The following is a 20433-nucleotide window of genomic DNA, read 5'->3' on the forward strand; positions in this document are numbered from 1 at the left end:
AAGTTGAATAGGAGTGGTGAGAGAGGGCATCCCTGTCTTGTGCCAGTTTTCAAAGGGAATGCTTCCAGTTTTTGCCCATTCAGTATGATATTGGCTGTGGGTTTGTCATAGATAGCTCTTATTATTTTGAAATACGTCCCATCAATACCTAATTTATTGAGAGTTTTTAGCATGAAGGGTTGTTGAATTTTGTCAAAGGCTTTTTCTGCATCTATTGAGATAATCATGTGGTTTTTGTCTTTGGCTCTGTTTATATGCTGGATTACATTTATTGATTTGCGTATATTGAACCAGCCTTGCATCCCAGGGTTGAAGCCCACTTGATCATGGTGGATAAGCTTTTTGATGTGCTGCTGGATTCGTTTTGCCAGTATTTTATTGAGGATTTTTGCATCAATGTTCATCAAGTATATTGGTCTAAAATTCTCTTTTTTGGTTGTGTCTCTGCCTGGCTTTGGTATCAGAATGATGCTGGCCTTATAAAATGAGTTAGGGAGGATTCCCTCTTTTTCTATTGATTGGAATAGTTTCAGAAGGAATGGTACCGGTTCCTCCTTGTACCTCTGGTAGAATTCGGCTGTGAATCCATCTGGTCCTGGACTCTTTTTGGTTGGTAAACTATTGATTATTGCCACAATTTCAGCTCCTGTTATTGGTCTATTCAGAGATTCAACTTCTTCCTGGTTTAGTCTTGGGAGAGTGTATGTGTCAAGGAATATATCCATTTCTTCTAGATTTTCTAGTTTATTTGCGTAGAGGTGTTTGTAGTATTCTCTGATGGTAGTTTGTATTTCTGTGGGATCTGTGATGATATCCCCTTTATCATTTTTTATTGTGTCTATTTGATTCTTCTCTCTTTTTTTCTTTATTAGTCTTGCTAGCGGTCTATCAATTTTGTTGATCCTTTCAAAAAACCAGCTCCTGGATTCATTGATTTTTTGAAGGGTTTTTTGTGTCTCTATTTCCTTCAGTTCTGCTCTGATTTTAGTTATTTCTTGCCTTCTGCTAGCTTTTGAATGTGTTTGCTCTTGCTTTTCTAGTTCTTTTAATTGTGATGTTAGGGTGTCAATTTTGGATCTCTCCTGCTTTCTCTTGTGGGCATTTAGTGCTATAAATTTCCCTCTACACACTGCTTTGAATGCGTCCCAGAGATTCTGGTATGTGGTGTCTTTGTTCTCGTTGGTTTCAAAGAACATCTTTATTTCTGCCTTCATTTCGTTATGTACCCAGTAGTCATTCAGGAGCAGGTTGTTCAGTTTCCATGTAGTTGAGTGGCTTTGAGTGAGATTCTTAATCCTGAGTTCTAGTTTGATTGCACTGTGGTCTGAGAGATAGTTTGTTATAATTTCTGTTCTTTTACATTTGCTGAGGAGAGCTTTACTTCCAACTCTGTGGTCAATTTTGGAATAGGTGTGGTGTGGTGCTGAAAAAAATGTATATTCTGTTGATTTGGGGTGGAGAGTTCTGTAGATGTCTATTAGGTCCACTTGGTGCAGAGCTGAGTTCAATTCCTGGGTATCCTTGTTGACTTTCTGTCTCTTTGATCTGTCTAATGTTGACAGTGGGGTGTTAAAGTCTCCCATTATTAATGTGTGGGAGTCTAAGTCTCTTTGTAGGTCACTCAGGACTTGCTTTATGAATCTGGGTGCTCCTGTATTGGGTGCATATATATTTAGGATAGTTAGCTCTTCTTGTTGAATTGATCCCTTTACCATTATGTAATGGCCTTCTTTGTCTCTTTTGATCTTTGTTGGTGTAAAGTCTGTTTTATCAGAGACTAGGATTGCAACCCCTGCCTTTTTTTGTTTTCCATTTGCTTGGTAGATCTTCCTCCATCCTTTTATTTTGAGCCTATGTATGTCTCTGCACGTGAGATGGGTTTCCTGAATACAGCACACTGATGGGTCTTGACTCTTTATCCAATTTGCCAGTCTGTGTCTTTTAATTGGAGCATTTAGTCCATTTACATTTAAAGTTAATATTGTTATGTGTGAATTTGATCCTGTCATTATGATGTTAGCTGGTGATTTTGCTCATTAGTTGATGCAGTTTCTTCCTAGTCTCGATGGTCTTTACATTTTGGCATGATTTTGCAGCGGCTGGTACCGGTTGTTCCTTTCCATGTTTAGCGCTTCCTTCAGGAGCTCTTTTAGGGCAGGCCTGGTGGTGACAAAATCTGTCAGCATTTGCTTGTCTGTAAAGTATTTTATTTCTCCTTCACTTATGAAGCTTAGTTTGGCTGGATATGAAATTCTGGGTTGAAAATTCTTTTCTTTAAGAATGTTGAATATTGGCCCCCACTCTCTTCTGGCTTGTAGGGTTTCTGCCGAGAGATCCGCTGTTAGTCTGATGGGCTTCCCTTTGAGGGTAACCCGACCTTTCTCTCTGGCTGCCCTTAACATTTTTTCCTTCATTTCAACTTTGGTGAATCTGACAATTATGTGTCTTGGAGTTGCTCTTCTCGAGGAGTATCTTTGTGGCGTTCTCTGTATTTCCTGAATCTGAACGTTGGCCTGCCTTGCTAGATTGGGGAAGTTCTCCTGGATAATATCCTGCAGAGTGTTTTCCAACTTGGTTCCATTGTCCCCATCACTTTCAGGTACACCAATCAGACGTAGATTTGGTCTTTTCACATAGTCCCATATTTCTTGGAGGCTTTGCTCATTTCTTTTTATTCTTTTTTCTCTAAACTTCCCTTCTCGCTTCATTTCATTCATTTCATCTTCCATTGCTGATACCCTTTCTTCCAGTTGATCGCATCGGCTCCTGAGGCTTCTGCATTCTTCACGTAGTTCTCGAGCCTTGGTTTTCAGCTCCATCAGCTCCTTTAAGCACTTCTCTGTATTGGTTATTCTAGTTATACATTCTTCTAAATTTTTTTCAAAGTTTTCAACTTCTTTGCCTTTGGTTTGAATGTCCTCCCGTAGCTCAGAGTAATTTGATCGTCTGAAGCCTTCTTCTCTCAGCTTGTCAAAGTCATTCTCCATCCAGCTTTGTTCCGTTGCTGGTGAGGAACTGCGTTCCTTTGGAGGAGGAGAGACACTCTGCGTTTTAGAGTTTCCAGTTTTTCTGTTCTGTTTTTTCCCCATCTTTGTGGTTTTATGTACTTTTGGTCTTTGATGATGGTGATGTACAGATGGGTTTTCGGTGTGGATGTCCTTTCTGTTTGTTAGTTTTCCTTCTAACAGACAGGACCCTCAGCTGCAGGTCTGTTGGAATACCCTGCGATGTGAGGTGTCAGTGTGCCCCTGCTGGGGGGTGCCTCCCAGTTAGGCTGCTCGGGGGTCAGGGGTCAGGGACCCACTTGAGGAGGCAGTCTGCCCGTTCTCAGATCTCCAGCTGCGTGCTGGGAGAACCACTGCTCTCTTCAAAGCTGTCAGACAGGGACATTTAAGTCTGCAGAGGTTACTGCTGTCTTTTTGTTTGTCTGTGCCCTGCCCTCAGAGGTGGAGCCTACAGAGGCAGGCAGGCCTCCTTGAGCTGTGGTGGGCTCCACCCAGTTCGAGCTTCCTGGCTGCTTTGTTTACCTAAGCAAGCCTGGGCAATGGCGGGCGCCCCTCCCCCAGCCTCACTGCCGCCTTGCAGTTTGATCTCAGACTGCTGTGCTAGCAATCAGCGAGATTCCGTTGGCGTAGGACCCTCTGAGCCAGGTGTGGGATATAATCTCGTGGTGCGCCGTTTTTTAAGCCGGTCTGGAAAGGGCAATATTCGGGTGGGAGTGACCCGATTTTCCAGGTGCGTCCGTCACCGCTTTCTTTGACTGGGAAAGGGAACTCCCTGACCCCTTGCGCTTCCCAAGTGAGGCAATGCCTCGCCCTGCTTCGGCTCGCGCACGGTGCGCGCACCCACTGGCCTGCACCCACTGTCTGGCACTCCCTAGTGAGATGAACCCGGTACCTCAGATGGAAATGCAGAAATCACCCGTCTTCTGCGTCGCTCATGCTGGGAGCTGTAGACCGGAGCTGTTCCTATTCGGCCATCTTGGCTCCTCCTCGCAACTGCAACTCTCATATGTTGCTGGTGGAAATACAAAATGGTGTAGCCATTTTGGAAAATAGCATGGTATTTTATAAAATTGAAGACCCTTCTTATACCACCCCAGCAATTCCAGTCCCACTGCTGTGTGTTTACCAAAGTGAAATTAAAACCTGTATGTGAATGTTTATGATAGCCTTGCTCATAATCACCCCAAACTGCAAACAACCCAAATGTCCGTCAAAAGTAAATGGATCAACCAACTGTGGTATATTCATTGTATGGAATGCTACTGAGCAATTAAAAGAATGAACTGATATACATTACAACTGATGGATCTCAAGTGCATCATGTTAAGTGACCTATGCCAAAGTCAAGTGACTTAATACTATGTTATTCCATTTGTATGAAATTCTGGAAAAGTCAAAACTATCATCATAGGAAGCATGTCAGTAGTTGTTAAGGACTGGTGGTATTGACTACAAGAGGGTCCAGGGAATTTGGGTATGGGGGGAATGAGGGAACTATCCTGTATCTTGGTTATGGTAGTGCTCACAAACCTATGTGCATTTGTCAAATCTCACAGAATTGTATACTAAAAATGTGAATTTTACTCTGTATAAATTGTGCCTTAAATAAATGACAAAAAAGAAAAAAAAGCCCTGAGTTTTAACTGCAGTAGGTGCTGAAGCAAGAATAGTGTCACTAAACCAAAAAAAAGGAAAAAAAGGAAAAAAAAAAAGAAATTTATGTCTTATACATAGATGGCTATTTGAAGTGTGTTCTTTTCTCTTGTCAGAACAGTGCCTTCATTATACCTTGCATATCCATTTTTCTCTCTTTATTTTGTAATATTTATTATAGGTAACTCTGTCTTAACTAACTTCTCTCTTCTTATCCTGCAAAGTTATGTCAAGTGCACATGACCTCCTTAAAGTCACTGTTGTTTTAGAGACATCTCCTGCAGTTTCTAGAGTATAGTAGGTGCTCAATTCATATTTATTGACTGAATTTTTTGATGAAATATCTCTTACCACTACAGATTTCTGTCCAATTTTATGAACATTTTATATATCTATATTTGGTAATTAATTATCTTGTCTTATATAGTGTTTTAAGAAATCTAAGTTGTAATATTCTCTATTAGGTTATACATAGATTTATTTATCTTATATCTGGCTTCATCTTGAACCCTGGGAATGTTACTTGACTAATTTGTGTCTTGATCATGTCATGGTGAGATATTTTGATTTAGCCATTTTAAAAACATCATTCTGACTGCCCAGTGAAAAATGGATTATAAGGGAACAAAGGTGGAAGCAGGCAGATTAGGAGAATGCTATTGTAAATAATCCAGGGGAGAGATAATTACATGTTGCACTAGGCTGGTAGCAGAGGGTGACATGTGATCGGATTCTGGATATATTTTAAGAGAGTACTGACTGTATTTGCTTCTCTTTTCTGTGTGGCCTGAGAAAAATAAATAACTGGCCACTGATGTCAGAGTTTTTGGCTTGAGCTACTAGAAGACTTGCTGTTTACTCAAATATAGAAGAGAGATTTGGAGGATAAAATCAAGATTTTGGAGATGTTGAGATGCATTTAAGACATCCAAGTGACTATGTCCATTAATCAATTTCATGTAACATTGAGTTCAAGGAAAAGATAGGGAAGGAAATATGAGTTTGGGAGTCATCAGTATATAGATGGTTTTTAAAGCTGTTAGAATGAAATGGGCGAGATTACTTACGGAGTGAGTTTAGATGAAGACATCATCCGAAGACATCATCCAAAGACTGCACCCTCGACCACTCCAGTGTTTGGGAGTTGGACGTATGAGGAGGATCAGGCAAAGGAGCCCAAGAAAGTACAACCAGTGAGGTGGGAGGAGAATCAAGATAGAAATCCAGTAAACTAAGTCTATCAAGAATGACACAGTAGTCAAGTGCTGATAGGTGAAGTCTGATGAAGCCTAGAATTCCACTGGATTCAACAATTTAGGTGTCACTGGTGATCTTAAGAACAGTTTCAATGGAGAGGCAGGAATGAAAGCCCAGCTGGATTGGAAATCAGCAGATATAGATAGCTCTTAAAAATAGTTTTGCTATAAAAGGATGATAGGAAACGAGGACACATTAGTAAGTGGATGTGGGTTGAGAGTTTTTTATTAAAATGGGCAATATAGCATGTTTGTATGTTGTTAGAAAGGATGTAACAGAAAATTTGATAGTGTCAGAGAAAGAGGACATAATTGTAGGATAATTTGATGAATAGGCAAGAAAAGATGTATATGTTGACTAGTGGAGGGGTTGAATTTGGGAGCAGAGATAGCTCATTGTAACGGAAGGAAAGGTGAGGCATGGCTACAGAGGTAATAACTGACAGTTCAGTGTACTTACTATGTGCCAGGTTCTGTTCTAAGCACTCTCCATGTGTTAATTTAATTGTTGCAGCAGCTCTCTGAGGTAGGTATTATTATATCTTCATTTTAGAGGTGAGAGAACTGAGGCATAGCTATATTAGGTAGCTAGTGTAAAAATACAGAAAACAAAATGGCAGCAACTAAGTAACTTGCTCAAGATCTCACAGCCAATAAGTAATTTGCCCATGATCATATCAAGTAAATGACAGAGCCAGTTTCTGAATCTAAACCACTCTGGTTTTAGAGCCAGAACAGGGTGTGTGTGTGTGTGTGTTTGTGTGTGTTTGTGTTTTCTTTTTTTTTTTTGAGATGGAGTTTCACTCTTGTTGCCCAGGCTGGAGTGCAATGGGGCGATCTCGGCTCACTGCAACCTCCACCTCCTGGGTTCAAGTGATTCTCCTGCCTCAGCCTCCTGGGTAGCTGGGATTACAGGTATGGGCCACCACGCCTGGCTAATTTTTTGTATCTTTAGTAGAGACGGAGTTTCACCATGTTGGCCGGGCTGGTCTTGAACTCCTGACCTCATGATCTGCCTGCCTTGGCCTCCCAAAGTGCTGGGATTACAGGTGTGAGCCACCGCACCGGCCTAGATTAGTTTTTATAAGAGCATGTAGAAGTTCTAGTGAGTAAGTGAATAAACTAGGAAAATCGATAACCCTGGCCCAGGCAGTACTTGAAGCTTCTAGTCATGATTTTAAAGAGAGATTATGAGAATGGCAGTATGGTGGGTAAGAAAACAAAATATTTTGATGACTAAATAAACAGTCAAATAGAGATCTCCACTCAGTTTCTAAAATGCAAGATTTATTACTTGCTTCAATATAAATTTATGAGGCATCATCTTAGACTCTTAGAGTTACATAGAAAACAACATAGTTTCTACCTTTGAGGTTTATAATCAATGTAGGTGGGAATGCATACTCATAAGAGATTATTTAACAAAGTAACTGAAACACTGAGGCTGTTTCACATTTCTTGACCACTTTTTTTCCTGTAAAACAAGTCACTTCATTCATTCATTCATTCAACTTTTAAGTCTTAATCATCTATTCTTTCTTGGGGACTTTAACAGACACTGCTGATTTAAAGATGAGTAAGGATAGTTTCTACCCTCAAGGTTTACCATGTTATAGAGGCATGCAGACCTTTAAACAGAAAATTGTGATATTATCAATAAATCCTTCTGTAAGCATTGTAGACCTAATGGAAATTTTTGAATGTACACAGAAATAAAATAATACAATGAAGTCTCATGTGCCCACTGCCCAACTTCAATAAAGACAATATCTAACAAATTTCTTTAAGCTGAGACTCCCATTGGGTTTTTCTTTTTTTTTTTTGGAAGGTAATATTGGAGTAGGAAGAACATTGATTAACAGAGAAACAAATTGGGAAGTAATTGCATGGGTTGATGATATTTATACCAGACTCACTGACCCTATGTACAGAGATGAGGCTCCAAATGGGAAAAGACTTCTGAGGTAGAAATGACAGGGTTGCTCAGCTGAAATTCAGTGTACATTTTTTTCAGAAATAAAATATTTCTAATAATATTTTTATTAATGGACTTTAGGAAATTATTTAAAGATCTGAGGGAACTGTTTTAAAAAACTAACATAATTGATTCTTAGACCTTTAGAAAACTTGTTGGATTTTTTACAATTCAAATTTTTTTTATTTGGGCCATTATTATAATTATGTCATGATATGAAAAGGGTAACATTTGTGTAAACTACAGAAGTATAAACTACTATGTCTTTTATACGAGGATTGTCAAATATTTTTAATTGTGCTCAAATTTCTTTTTGAAACATTCGATTTAGAAATTTCCTAAGTGTCGGGAAAAATAGGTAGGCATTTACATATAGACATTTTTGTGATTTATGTAGGTAAAGCACCTGTCATGTGGAGTCCTACACTTTGTGCTTTGGGGAAATATTTTTTAAAGTGAGGATACAGTATATATGCTCAGTGAAATTTTAAACGTGTTTGAAAAGATTTTGAACTTACTCTTAAATAGCTAGATCATTCTTTTAAAAAAGCAAAACATGAATAAAGTCAGAATTCTTATAATTAAATACACTATCAGAAAGATGTAAAGGAAAAATATTTCAATACTAATTTGAAATCATTAGAAAAAATAAAAATAATATAGAAAACTAAGAACAGACTGTATAAAAAGTTCAGTACTGGAGGTCTTTATAACAGATTGGAGATACAGGTGTATTGAAATAACTACATGAAAAAAGCACATAAGCTAAAGAAAGAAAGGTTGAGAGAGAGAGAGAGAAAACATTTGGGATAGGAGAACTTGTAAAAACAAAACTAAACGTGGTAGCAAGATTTCTTTTATATGTTGAATATATTCAGAATGGTAATGCTGATGATTTAACTATTATTTAAATAATTTAAAGGATTAGGCAGAATAATATCTGGATAACTGCTTCAGGTTTTGAGATGCATGGAAAACTTAAAAAAGTTTAAAGACAAAAATAAAGGTAGTGCTTACTGTGAATACTTAGTAAGTCAACTTTTAGCAGGAAGAATATGCAGGAAGATTTTCTAACCAAAAAGACTAAGTGAACATTGGAGGAAAATAATTGGGTATTGGATTATTACATCAAGTAAAGTCACCTTCAAATCGGTCATTCTTTTTTATTGAGTAAGAGAAAATTGGTACATAGCCACCTACTTCCACCTCCTATCAAAATTTCTGTAATTCCATTGGTGACTTTTCAGTGGTCACATTCAATGACTTTTATCCCCCTCATCTCTTGCTTTTTCTGCTGTTTTTATTGAATAAGAGAAAATTGATACATATTTAGTAGGCATTTTAATTGTATTTTCATGGCTATTCATTACTTATCAGCAGAGTGGGAAAATGTATTCTGAATTAATATGCTTTTCATCTTCATAATGACCTTTAATCTATCCTTTTTCTTGAAACATTTCTTAATGTAGGTCGTATAACTTCTCCGTATCTAGTTCTTCTCATTATTGCGGGATGGAGAAATCTCCGACCTTTCTTGATGCCACCTCATCTTTTAATTTCAGTTATAGTCTTTTCCTTTCTAGAGAGAACTTTTTCAAATAGGTCATGCTGCTGGTGTCATATTCTCATATCTCATAGCCACCTACTTCCACCTCCTATCAAAATTTCTCTAATTCCATTGGTGACTTTTCAGTGGTCACATTCAATGACTTTTATCCCCCTCATCTCTTGCTTTTTCTGCTGTTTTTGTTAGAAATAACTCTTTCCCTTTGAAATTTTATCTCCCAATAGACATCTTTAAAAGTAGAGTTCTTATATGCCTAAGTAGTTTCAAGAAAATCCTCTTTGAAAGCAAAGGAAATCCACTAGATGAGTCCATGACATTTTTTTGATCCTATTAAATTCAGTGAGAATGTTTGCTTCTAAAAAAGCATTCTTTTTTGTTTAGCTTTAGTAATTGACATATTAATTTCATTTCATAATTATATTCATTCACTTACCAAAAATGTATTAAATGCCTTTTATATGTGGGGCACTGTTTCTAGGTGCTTAAGATATATAAGTAAAGAAGACAAAGATTCTTGCCATTGTGGAGTTTCTATTCATGCATTAAAACCTAGCCAATTACTGTATGATTAATAGATATTTGATTTATGTATGACTTTAAAAATAATTGTATTAGGTATCCGTCTTGTTTCTAGGGTAGAGTTCAGCATGTATCATAACTAGTTGCCTATTTTCAAGTTCCTGATAACTGCAGTTAATGTATCAAAGCAATGGCAATGTGTAATTACATTTTAATCAGAAATATTGAAAGCAATGATTATTTTTATAAATTTCTCTTTTATTTATTTGGATCTTCTCTGATCATAGATATATACTAGCAGCATCTAGCTTAATATTTATTAGTACTTCTCAAGTGATAGGGTGCTGTATGCAGTATAATTGCTGTACTGTTACTTGGGATAACCAGTAAAATAAGGCTGTTAATCAAGCAGTGTTATGAGTGACCCAGTTCTTTTTAAATGCCTGTCTCTAAAGATAAATAGTGCTTTGATTTTTAAGAGAGGAGAAAAGACATTTTCATTATGCCTGGCCAAACAAGTGGCTGAGGGTCAGCTAGAAACTGAATGTCAATTGAGTTAGATTATATTATGGTAAAGTATTCATTGGGGACTGTTGACTATTAATCTTAAGGAGTATGTTTATGTACGTGTGTATGCATGTGTAGGAAGAGATATTCAAACTTTAAAATATAGTTAAATCATTATGTTATTATATATCATTATATAAAATATTACAGTTAAATCATTATGCAAAATAATCTGGGCCAACCGAGTATTTAATCAAGCTGCTTGTTACTTTCATTCTGCCTACAATGTTGGAAATATGTTATAGTAGGTCCAGTGAATGTTAGGAGGCTATTGCAGAAGTCTGGGGAGGATAAAGTTGGTTGCAGTTGAGATGGAAGTGCATGAACTTTGTAGAGGTTGAGAAAATAAGATGTATTAGACTTGGTGGTGGATTAGTAATAGATGATGGGGCAAAAATAATTCCTAGGTTTCCAGTTTGGATGGAGTGTGGTAACAATTTCTGAGGTGGAATACCCTGGAAAACGACCAGGTTAGGGAGAAGAAACTGAGTTCAGACTTGGGCATACTGACTTTGAGGTGCCTTTGAGCTTCTAGAACTTGGGATACATGTTTATAGGTGATAATGCCTAGAGACAAGAGAATGAAAGAAAAGGGCAAGAGTAAAGAGAGATAACTTCAAGCCCTTAAGAGGTTAATAGAGGAGAAGCAATCAACAATGGAGTTTGTGAAGGTGGATAAAGAAGTAGTGCTTTGTCACTGAAGCCAAGGGAAACAGATTGGTCCACAGTGAAAGGAGTGAAAATATGTCTTGAATCCAGTGGGGCATGGAGAGAAGTCATAGATCATTTAAGTGAAAACTTTTCAAGGAGAGATGCAGAAGCCATGTTGAACTGAATTGAGGTAGGAGTTGGAGGGGAAGAAATAGAGATAGTGCTTCCATACCAACTCTTGAAATTTGTTGCACAGGGTAAGAGTGTGATGGAGAATTGCGCATGGCATTGAAGAAAGGATTTTTTTCAATGTTCTTAATTTTTAAATTTTGAGACAGAGTTTCACTCTGATGCCCTGCCTGGTGTGACCTTAGCTCATTTGGTCTCAACCTCTGAGGCTCAGGTGATTCTCCCACCTCAGCCTCCCAAGTAGCTGGAACTACAGGCACATGCCACCATGGCCGGCTAAGTTTTTTGTATTTTGTTTTTTTTCTAGAGATGAGGTTTTGCCATGTTGCCCAGTCTGGAACTGGTCTGGAACTGGTCTGAACGCCTGGGCTCAAACGATCCGCCTGCTTTGGCCTCCCAAAGTGCTGGGATTATGGATATGAGCCACTGTGCCCAGCCAAGAAAGGATTCTTTCACATGCAGTTTTAATTAATTTAATTTATTGGAGTTTTAATAGCTGTAGAGACACAGTGATGACTTGCTGATCTCTATATAACATGTAACATATACTATATTTAACTACTTTGGATTTCCCTTACATGATATTATAAATTATTGGACTCATAATTTAGAATATTTTGCATTTAATTTGAGAGGAAATGACCTTTGCTCTTTGTACATCATTGCTTTTAATTAACCCAGTTTTCTATACTAATACCCTTAACCCATATGTTTTTCCTATTCAACAGTATAATCACAGCCAAACATTAAATTACAAAAAGATCCTTTTATGACTAATCCTGGCTCTCTTGTGGCATAATATTCCTTGTCAAATAGTTTATTCAGGTGGAAGTCTTCTGAAGAATAATTAATACTCTTCCTCTACTTGACATATTTTGTGAAGCATAATTATCTATGATGTTTTTCCAAATTAACTAAAATTATGTTTTAATTTAAAGCCACGAGAGAAGTTTAAAGAATTGAAATGACTTCTTGTGTTTTATGATTATAAAAGAATTTAAAATCATTATAAATATTTCAGACAGCATAGGAAAATAAAAGGGCTACTTTCCCTTTTAATTCTATTACACAGATATTTTGGAGTATGTTCTTCCATATTATTTTTCTATGCATGTCTAAAAGCAGGTTTCAAAATAGCGGTTATGGAGGTGTATTTAAACTAACACCTATTTACTAATTTGAAACTTGCTTTTGTCACTTGGCAGCATAACTGTTATTTTAAGGTATGGTAGCACGTTAAGTCATATAAACTCTGCCTTTCTCTAGTTTATTTTTGCTTCAAGCCCATCAGTATTATCAGCTTAGTTTCTCTAACCCAACAATACAAAAGCTTAGCTAGAAAAGGCTAAAAGAAACCATTAAATCTGATGGTTTACTAAAATTATTAATGGGATGAGTTTACTTGAACTTGTTTCAGTTGTGGAAGTTTTAGTTTTTTTCTGAGATAGCCCAAATATGACAGTATGGGGAAAGCAAGGAATATATTTTCAGAGGAAGGTATGCCAATACTGGGGTTTGAGCTAGAGGTAGAAGAGTGTGTATAATCTAGTGAAGCAGGTGGGAGGCCACTTTTAGAAAATAGACATGTGGATTCTATGACTTTCGAGGCTCAAAACTTGAAACCAGAGCCTGGGGTGTTAGATCAAACCAGAGTACATTGTCAAGGTTTGGAGTCCCAGTGGTTGCACCAGAGTCAGCTCTAATAGATAAAAAATGAGCAACAAATACAAGTAAAGTCTGAGCAAAAAGGCATAGAATATAGTTCCAGATTCAAGCTAGGCACCAGGAAAAAGATGACAAATGAAATTGCATTCACAATATTGAGATATGCAATTCAGTTTCTTGGTCAGATGGGCATAGTAGCATATTTACTATGTTGTGATCATTGATTTTAGGAGGAGAGATCTTTGCCTTTGTTCTGACGCTGCACACCTTTGGGATGTGGTAAAGCCTGATAAGTATGTGTTGCTTCCCCAGCAAGTTGGAGTTGTTGTGTAGGTTCTGGTGATTGTAGGAAAGGGTTAGGTCCTTCCTTTAATGAGCACTTGCTGTTGTAACAAGTCAGGGAGACAAATTCAGACATGTAAACAATAATGAACTCTTCTTACTAGAAAACCTATCTTAGGTTGTTTTAACTTGGAGGTTCATTGATATCTAAGTTTATGCTTGAACAAAGAATTCCAAGTTAGGTCATCAAGAGATAGGGCTTCCTGGAGGACCTGGGAGTCAGGATGTGGCCGCCAGGTAAAACTTGACTATAATATGTATGCCTTATGCCTCCTATACTGTGGAGTCTGTCTTTGGCACTTGGCCCAGCTCAGCTTGGCCTCAGAGAAGTGGGTATAGTCAAGGTGTGATAGGCCTATGATCCGTTTTCAACATCATTTCCTGAACCCTATTTCCTACCACACATCATTGTCCAGCTTGCTGTACATTCATTTCAGGGAATCCAGATGGTTCTTTTTATGCCTTGAAATGTTGCCTAGCAATATATAACTAACACGTTAATTATTATGAGTAAGTCCATAGGATGATTTTTAAAAGTAAGTGAGAAGAAGAACAAGCTTTTCCTGGAGGTAGAATTACCTGGTTCACCAATAAGAAGATGAGATCAATAAAAAAATTGAAGATATAACTGAGCTTAAGCAGTACTATTGTTTAATGCCCCCCCACAAACTGTTTTCTCTTGACCCAAGCTTACACTTTTATATAAACTAGTATACTTTTCATGGCAACAGCAGTTCAGGAGTTGTAAAGGAAGTGTGAATGGATTATTTTCTTGTCTTCTCAGGCACAGTAACCTTGGTGCACGACCGAAAGGGCTGTCTACTCTGGTGAAGAGTGGTGTCCCTGAAGCATTGAGGGCAGAGGTATGGCAGTTATTGGCAGGCTGCCATGACAACCAGGCAATGCTGGATAGATACCGAATTCTTATCACAAAGGTAGGAAGAAGTTCTTTTCATATTATTTTCATTGGATGACCTATTAAATAAATCCTAGTTTTCATAGCTCCCATAAGTCATAAATGCTTTGAACTTCTTCATGAATATATTGAGGTCGTGAAGTCAGTACTTCTACCTTTTGTTCTGAACACTTGTAGTGGTAAACAATGCACTTAGTCATCTATGAACATTGTATGCCTTGGTTTTTATCTTTTCATTCAAGTGATTTTATAATAGCTATTTACCAAATTGGAATATATTTATATTTCAAGTGTTTTCTAACTTTTCAATTAACCTTTTTTAATTGTATGAGATTTATATAGTTATAATCATACATAGTTACTCTTGTATAATTTTACAATAACATTAAAATGAAATTAAAAATTCTTCTGTGCTTATGTCACCTTACATTTAAATAATGTAGATACTTGCCCTTTTTCTGTCAGGGGCCCTTGGTTCCACTGTAAATTCCTTTGCTTATGTCTAAATACCTGGTTTTAGAGCATAAGTAAAGGTAGGTGTTGGCCTTGACCCTGGACTCACCACCCTAGGTCTTACCACCTAATTACTTAATCTACTCTAAGTACTGTATTTTAAAATAATAGTAAAATTTTATTTTTTAATTTAAAGGAACCTCTCCTCATAAATGAGATTTTTATAATCAAGACTTTGTTCCTCAGACTATATGAACTTTTAGAACTTTTTATCTGCTGTAATTTCTTTTTACTTTTCTTTCCTCTTTGCCTCCTTCCCTTCCATAAATATTTTCTGAGTGCCTAGTATAATTATCACTGCTGAATTCAGTTTTTTTTTTTTAATTTAACTTTTTTTTTTTAAATTGATGGCCTCTGCATTGGAATATGCAAGATGATCCATTGGTGTGTGGGAAAAAATGTCCAAAGTTCCATTTGTATTTCTTTTAAATAAGTACACCAAAGGATACTAAGCTGTACTAATATTTGGTGTGCCATAGTACTGAGGCTTTATGAGGTCCTTGGGTCCAGTGGCCACTGGTCCCACATGGTTCAGGAGTGACCTTAGGGAAGAATGGAACTTACACACTTTGGAGGAATAATTGTGGGGCTCACACTCGTATATTAACTTCCAAAATATTATAGGTTTCTTGCAGTTTGCATGTGTTAGATTAAGTGGATTTACAGGTTATCTAGATGTAACTTAATCCTCATAAAATGTGTGATTGGCTTAAAAAGATTACTATCACAGGATGCTGCATGTCAAGTTTTTTTTTTAATTTAATATGTTCCTTCAGGGAAGAATTAATATTATGATAATGACAAAGCAACTACTTTTGGAAACAAACTCATGTAACAAAGATGGACATTTTGAAACATATGGCGGTTTAAACACCTCTGTGATTTTTTTCATTGAAATAACATGCATCACTATAAAAAACTCTTACATCTTCACACTTAAAAACCTGGAATCAGAAACTTTAAATATGTTTAAAACTTATACAAGTAGTTGCAGAGAATTTGGAACTGATTGTTAAAAGCATATAAACACAACACCTTCTGATTTGTTCATATGAATATCTAGAAGCTGGTGTGGTGGCATATGCCTGGAGTCTCAGCTATTGAGAGGCTGAAGTGGGAGGACTGCCTGAGGCCAGGAACTTGCACCTGTGACTAGCCACTACACTTTGGCTTGGGCAACATAGCAAGACCCTGTCTCTAAAAAAAAAAAAAAAAAGAAAGAATACCTAGAGAAAGTAGATATTTCCTAGCCAAATTTCAACAAAATGATTGATGAGTGGGACTGAAAAAATGATGTACGTCTACTTGGGTCTGTGGATCTTTGTAAGTCTTTTTTAGATATGATAACAAAACCATGAATCAAAAAACTGATGCAGAAACAAGTTTTCATTGTTGTTTTATAAACTGCTATAACAAACATATTAAAAATAGTGACCCATATTTTATGATTATTTTTATATAAAATGTTTAGAATAGGCAAACCTATAGAGACAGAAAGTAGACTAATAGTTGCCAGGGGTTGGAGGAAAAAGGAATTGGGGGTCACTGCTAACAGATATATGGAGTTTGTTTTTAGATGATGGAAATATTCTGGAATTAGACGGTGGTGACAGTTGCTCAAGATTATGAATATACTAAAAACCACTGAATTGTACACTTCTAAATGGTGAATTTTATGTTATGTTTAACACAATAGAAAAATTTCACACACACAAAAAAAGATCCATATTCAATATTGAATAGTATTTTATAGCATTTTTAATTATCTTTTTTACATCCTATCTAAATTTCTGTGCTTTATAATATCTATAATATATTAGTATAATAGCACTTGTACATGATAAATATATATATGTTAGATATTTATGCCTAGAAGTTTTTATCGATGGAGTATCTGATTGAAATTTTCAGAGATCATAACTCTGGGTATCAAATTACTTTTTCTTGTAAATAATAAACTAAATTATATACTTTTATTGGCTGCCATGGGGTAGGAGGTAACTGCCATACCCCTTTTTTCACTAAGAGGCTTTCATAATTCATACCTTTAAAAATTTTAAGGGAAAAATGTAAAGAATACCATCCCCTGATATTATTTATGAATTCTTGATAAACAGTGTATGTTCATATAGTGAGAAAATTTTTATCATTTATACCAAACACCATGGTAGTTTTAACTATACAACTTGCAAAAAATACTTTAAGATCAAGAGATAGGGCTGGGCTCAGTGGTTCATGCCTGTAATTCCAACAGTTTGGAAGGTGGAGGTGGGAGGATGGCTTGAGCCCACGATTTCAAGACCAGCCTAGGCTACATAGTGAGACGCTGTCTCTACAAAAAAAAAAAAAAAAATTAGCTGGGCATGGTTGCACATACCTGTAGTCCCAGCTGTTTGAGAGGCTGAGATGGGAGGATTGCTTGAGCCCAGGAGATCGAGGCTGCAGTGGGCTGTGATTGTGCCATCAAACTTCAGTTCAGCTGGGGTGACAGAGTGAGACCCAGTCTCAAACCACAAAAAACAGAATGGCAAAAATCATTTTCATTGAATAAAATATATGGAAGATACTTGGAGGCTGATAAATTACATTTTTTAGATTTCTTCCCTCTGGAGTTCTAGCTGTGATTTACTTTCTGCCAGTGAAGATTGCGGGGAGGCAAAAGCCATATTTTCTCTGGCAGTGTGGTTGGCAGATACCTGGGCTTCACCAGTTGTGAGGTTTTTGCATCTGCCTCTGGGCATTTCATTCTCAATCACTTGCCTTCACTCTGGGGTTACTGTTTCCTGTGGTTTCCTATCCTGAGTGGCCACAGCAGCCTTCTGATTCTCTGGACTGTAGCTGTGGTGACACACCTAAAGAGCTGGAAGGGCAAAAGACTGCTACAGCAGGATGTTCAGTCTTCAGTCTTTTGCCCTTTCAGCTCTTTCAGTGTTTAAGGACCTTCATTCCTGCATTACATCTTTTTTGAAATAGTTTACCTGATTAAACCCTGTCTGATACACTTGGCATGTATTTTTCTCCTTGTTTTCACAAGATGGCTTTTCTACACCCAGCATTACATTTAGAAAAGAAGAAAAGAAAAACAAAGTCTACTCAAGGTAGCCAGACTTGAGGCTAAGAGCCCAGTCCTCCAGACTGCCAGCTTTGTTCAAGACTTCTGACATCAGCCACAATTTGGGGGTTCTTAGTGCCACCCTGACTTCAGACCAACTAGCTTCAAACTTGTAGATCCTCACAGACTTCCTCAGGTTTGATAATTTGCGAGAATAACTCACAGAACTCAGTAAAGTGCTATACTTAAACAATTGTAGTTTAGTGTTTTTGTTTGTTTGTTTTTTTAGTAGCAAAAAGATACAAATCTGAACCAGCCAAAGGAAGACATGTATAGGGCAGAATGTGGGACTAGGAGAATTCCAAATTTGAAGCTTCCATCATTCTCACGGATATGTTACCCTCCTGGTATTATCCTCAAGGGCTCATTACCTGCCTAGCATCAATATGTAGCAATATACACTTGGAATATTGCCAATCAGGAAGCTCACCTAGTTTTGGTGTCCAGAGTTTTTATTGGAGTTTTATTACATAGGCATGATTGATTGGATCATTACCTATCTGGTAGAACTCAATCTCTACGCTCCCCTTCTTTCCTCCCCAGAGGAAAAGAAGGTAGGGACACAGCCAAACCATATTGTATTGGGGCTGTTGCGTGGCTCAAAACCCCAGTGCTGTAATCACATGGTCGGTCTTTGTGGCTTGGCCAGCCTACGTCATGAGTCTTCTTCTTAGTGTAAACTATCTGGGGGCTTACCATGAATCATCTGATTAACATAAACTATCAGATGTGGTTAGAGGGGCCCACCACAAATAACAATCCTGTTATTCAGGAAATTTCAAGGGTTAAAAGGTTACTGTCCATGGGCTGGAAAAAAGGCTAGACCTCTCTTTGGCATTTCTGAACCCAGTCTATCACCCTTTTAAAGACTTTTTCTTAAGCACCAAACAACAACTCCATCTATATATTCTTGACCAGAATTCTGGCTACTATCTTCATGGAAAACTAGAAATGTTTTTTAAAAGATAGACACATTGATTTATCCCTCCACCCCCGAAAATCTAGGCTTTTTGTAAACAGGAAAGAGAAAATAGGTATTGAGTAGAAAACTACCTTTCTGTTCCCCAACTGCCTCTTAATAGTGACACTAGTTGAGATCTATTATGGAATGAATTATTCTAAAAATATATGTAAACTTAATTTATTTTAGAACTGTAAATATTTACTAATTGCCACTTGAGATTGATTAGCAATGTGTAATTCAGTTAGTATAATAAATATTTTCACATTCAGCTTATAAATCTATGACAACTTTAAGTTTTTAATGTTATTTCTATTGTTAATACAGTTATCAAAAACATTTTCATACAAACAATATAGAAATGTGTGGCTCTAATCATGTGCGTTTATTCAGGGTCTCAAATCATAAGACTTCTTTGACATAAAGTACAGTGGTATATTTAATTTCATTGTCTTCCTTGCATTATAGTAAAATGAATAATGTCATTTTTTCTAAAAATGATTTTTTCCTTTCACTGTCCTTGGGGTAGCAATGAGATGACAAGTGCCTGTAGCCAAGAGTGTATGTGGGTACTTTGGTGGTGAATACATCTGAGCTTATAGTCACTAAGTGGAAAGGGCATGAACACTCAAGAGTATTTTCTGTAAGAAGTGCCTGCATATTTGGCACTTGTTGGTCATGGTTCAGCAGCTGTTCGTCCTTTCTTTTGGTCCAGTTAATTTTTCCTGTCTTATTAAGGGAATGGCAAGATTTCAAGGTTAGTTAATGAAATGGTTCAGCTTGAACAAACAATTGCTTTATAAAAAATTGCTTTATAAAAACCCTACCAGAGGCCTCAGATTACACAGGGAAGAAGGAATATGAAGTATTTTATATTTGTCTGTTCTCACACTGCTATAAGGACCTACCTGAGACTGGGCAATTTATAAAGGAAAGAGGTTTAATTGACTCACAGTTTCACAGGGCTGGGAGGCCTCAGCAAATTTACAATCGTGGCGGAAAGGGAAGCTAACACATCCTTCTTCTCATGGTGGCAGAAAGGAGAAGAATGAGCAGGGGAAATGCCAGATGCTTATAAAACCATCAGATCTCGTGGGAACTCATTATCACGAGAACACTGTGGGGTAAACCGCCCCCATGATTCGGTTATCTCCACCTGGTCCCTCCCACGACACATGAGGATTATGGGAACTACAATTCAAATGAGATTTGGGTAGGGACACAGCCAAACCATATCATATTTCAGAAAATTTACTTAAGGTTTGGCTTCCATGAAAAAGTAGTCTACCATTTAAATCTATAGTAGGAATGTACTGGTTTAGAATTTGAACCCACAAATCACATTCTGAAGCATTCTTTCAGGGGTGGCAAATATACAGCCAGCAGGCTAGGTGGAGCCTACAAATATGCTTTGTATGGCTATCAATACATCAAAGAATGGTATACACTTAGGGATTAAATTTATACTTTCTTTTGCCATGGGCGTATTACTCTATTACTTACTCTCTATCTTTTATACCTTTTAATGCCTGTTTGGTCCTC

General features: G+C 37.2%; 1 protein-coding gene across 12 annotated transcripts in view, besides 1 other annotated feature; it reads left to right on the plus strand.

Annotated features, from left to right (window-relative positions):
- RABGAP1L (RAB GTPase activating protein 1 like) overlaps positions 1–20433 on the plus strand; it is an 835789-nt gene that overhangs the window by 220302 nt on the left and 595054 nt on the right. For all 12 annotated transcript variants that reach the window (NR_158982.1, XM_011510223.3, XM_047436028.1 and 9 more), the window contains one exon: positions 14174–14324. Coding sequence is in view for 11 of the 12 variants with exons in the window: in XM_011510223.3 (XP_011508525.1) it covers positions 14174–14324 (151 nt within the window). In the remaining variant the exon portion in view is untranslated. The remainder of the gene's footprint in view (positions 1–14173; positions 14325–20433) is intronic.
- Positions 3129–3693: an enhancer, noted in NCBI's record as "NANOG-H3K27ac-H3K4me1 hESC enhancer chr1:174352088-174352652 (GRCh37/hg19 assembly coordinates)". NCBI's record gives its function as "activates a minimal SCP1, AML or CMV promoter by ChIP-STARR-seq in primed H9 embryonic stem cells {active_cell/tissue: H9 hESC(primed)}" and the evidence as "EXISTENCE:reporter gene assay evidence [ECO:0000049][PMID:30033119]".

The sequence above is a fragment of the Homo sapiens genome, chromosome 1 (genome assembly GCF_000001405.40).
Source record: "Homo sapiens chromosome 1, GRCh38.p14 Primary Assembly".
Lineage (NCBI taxonomy): Eukaryota > Metazoa > Chordata > Mammalia > Primates > Hominidae > Homo > Homo sapiens.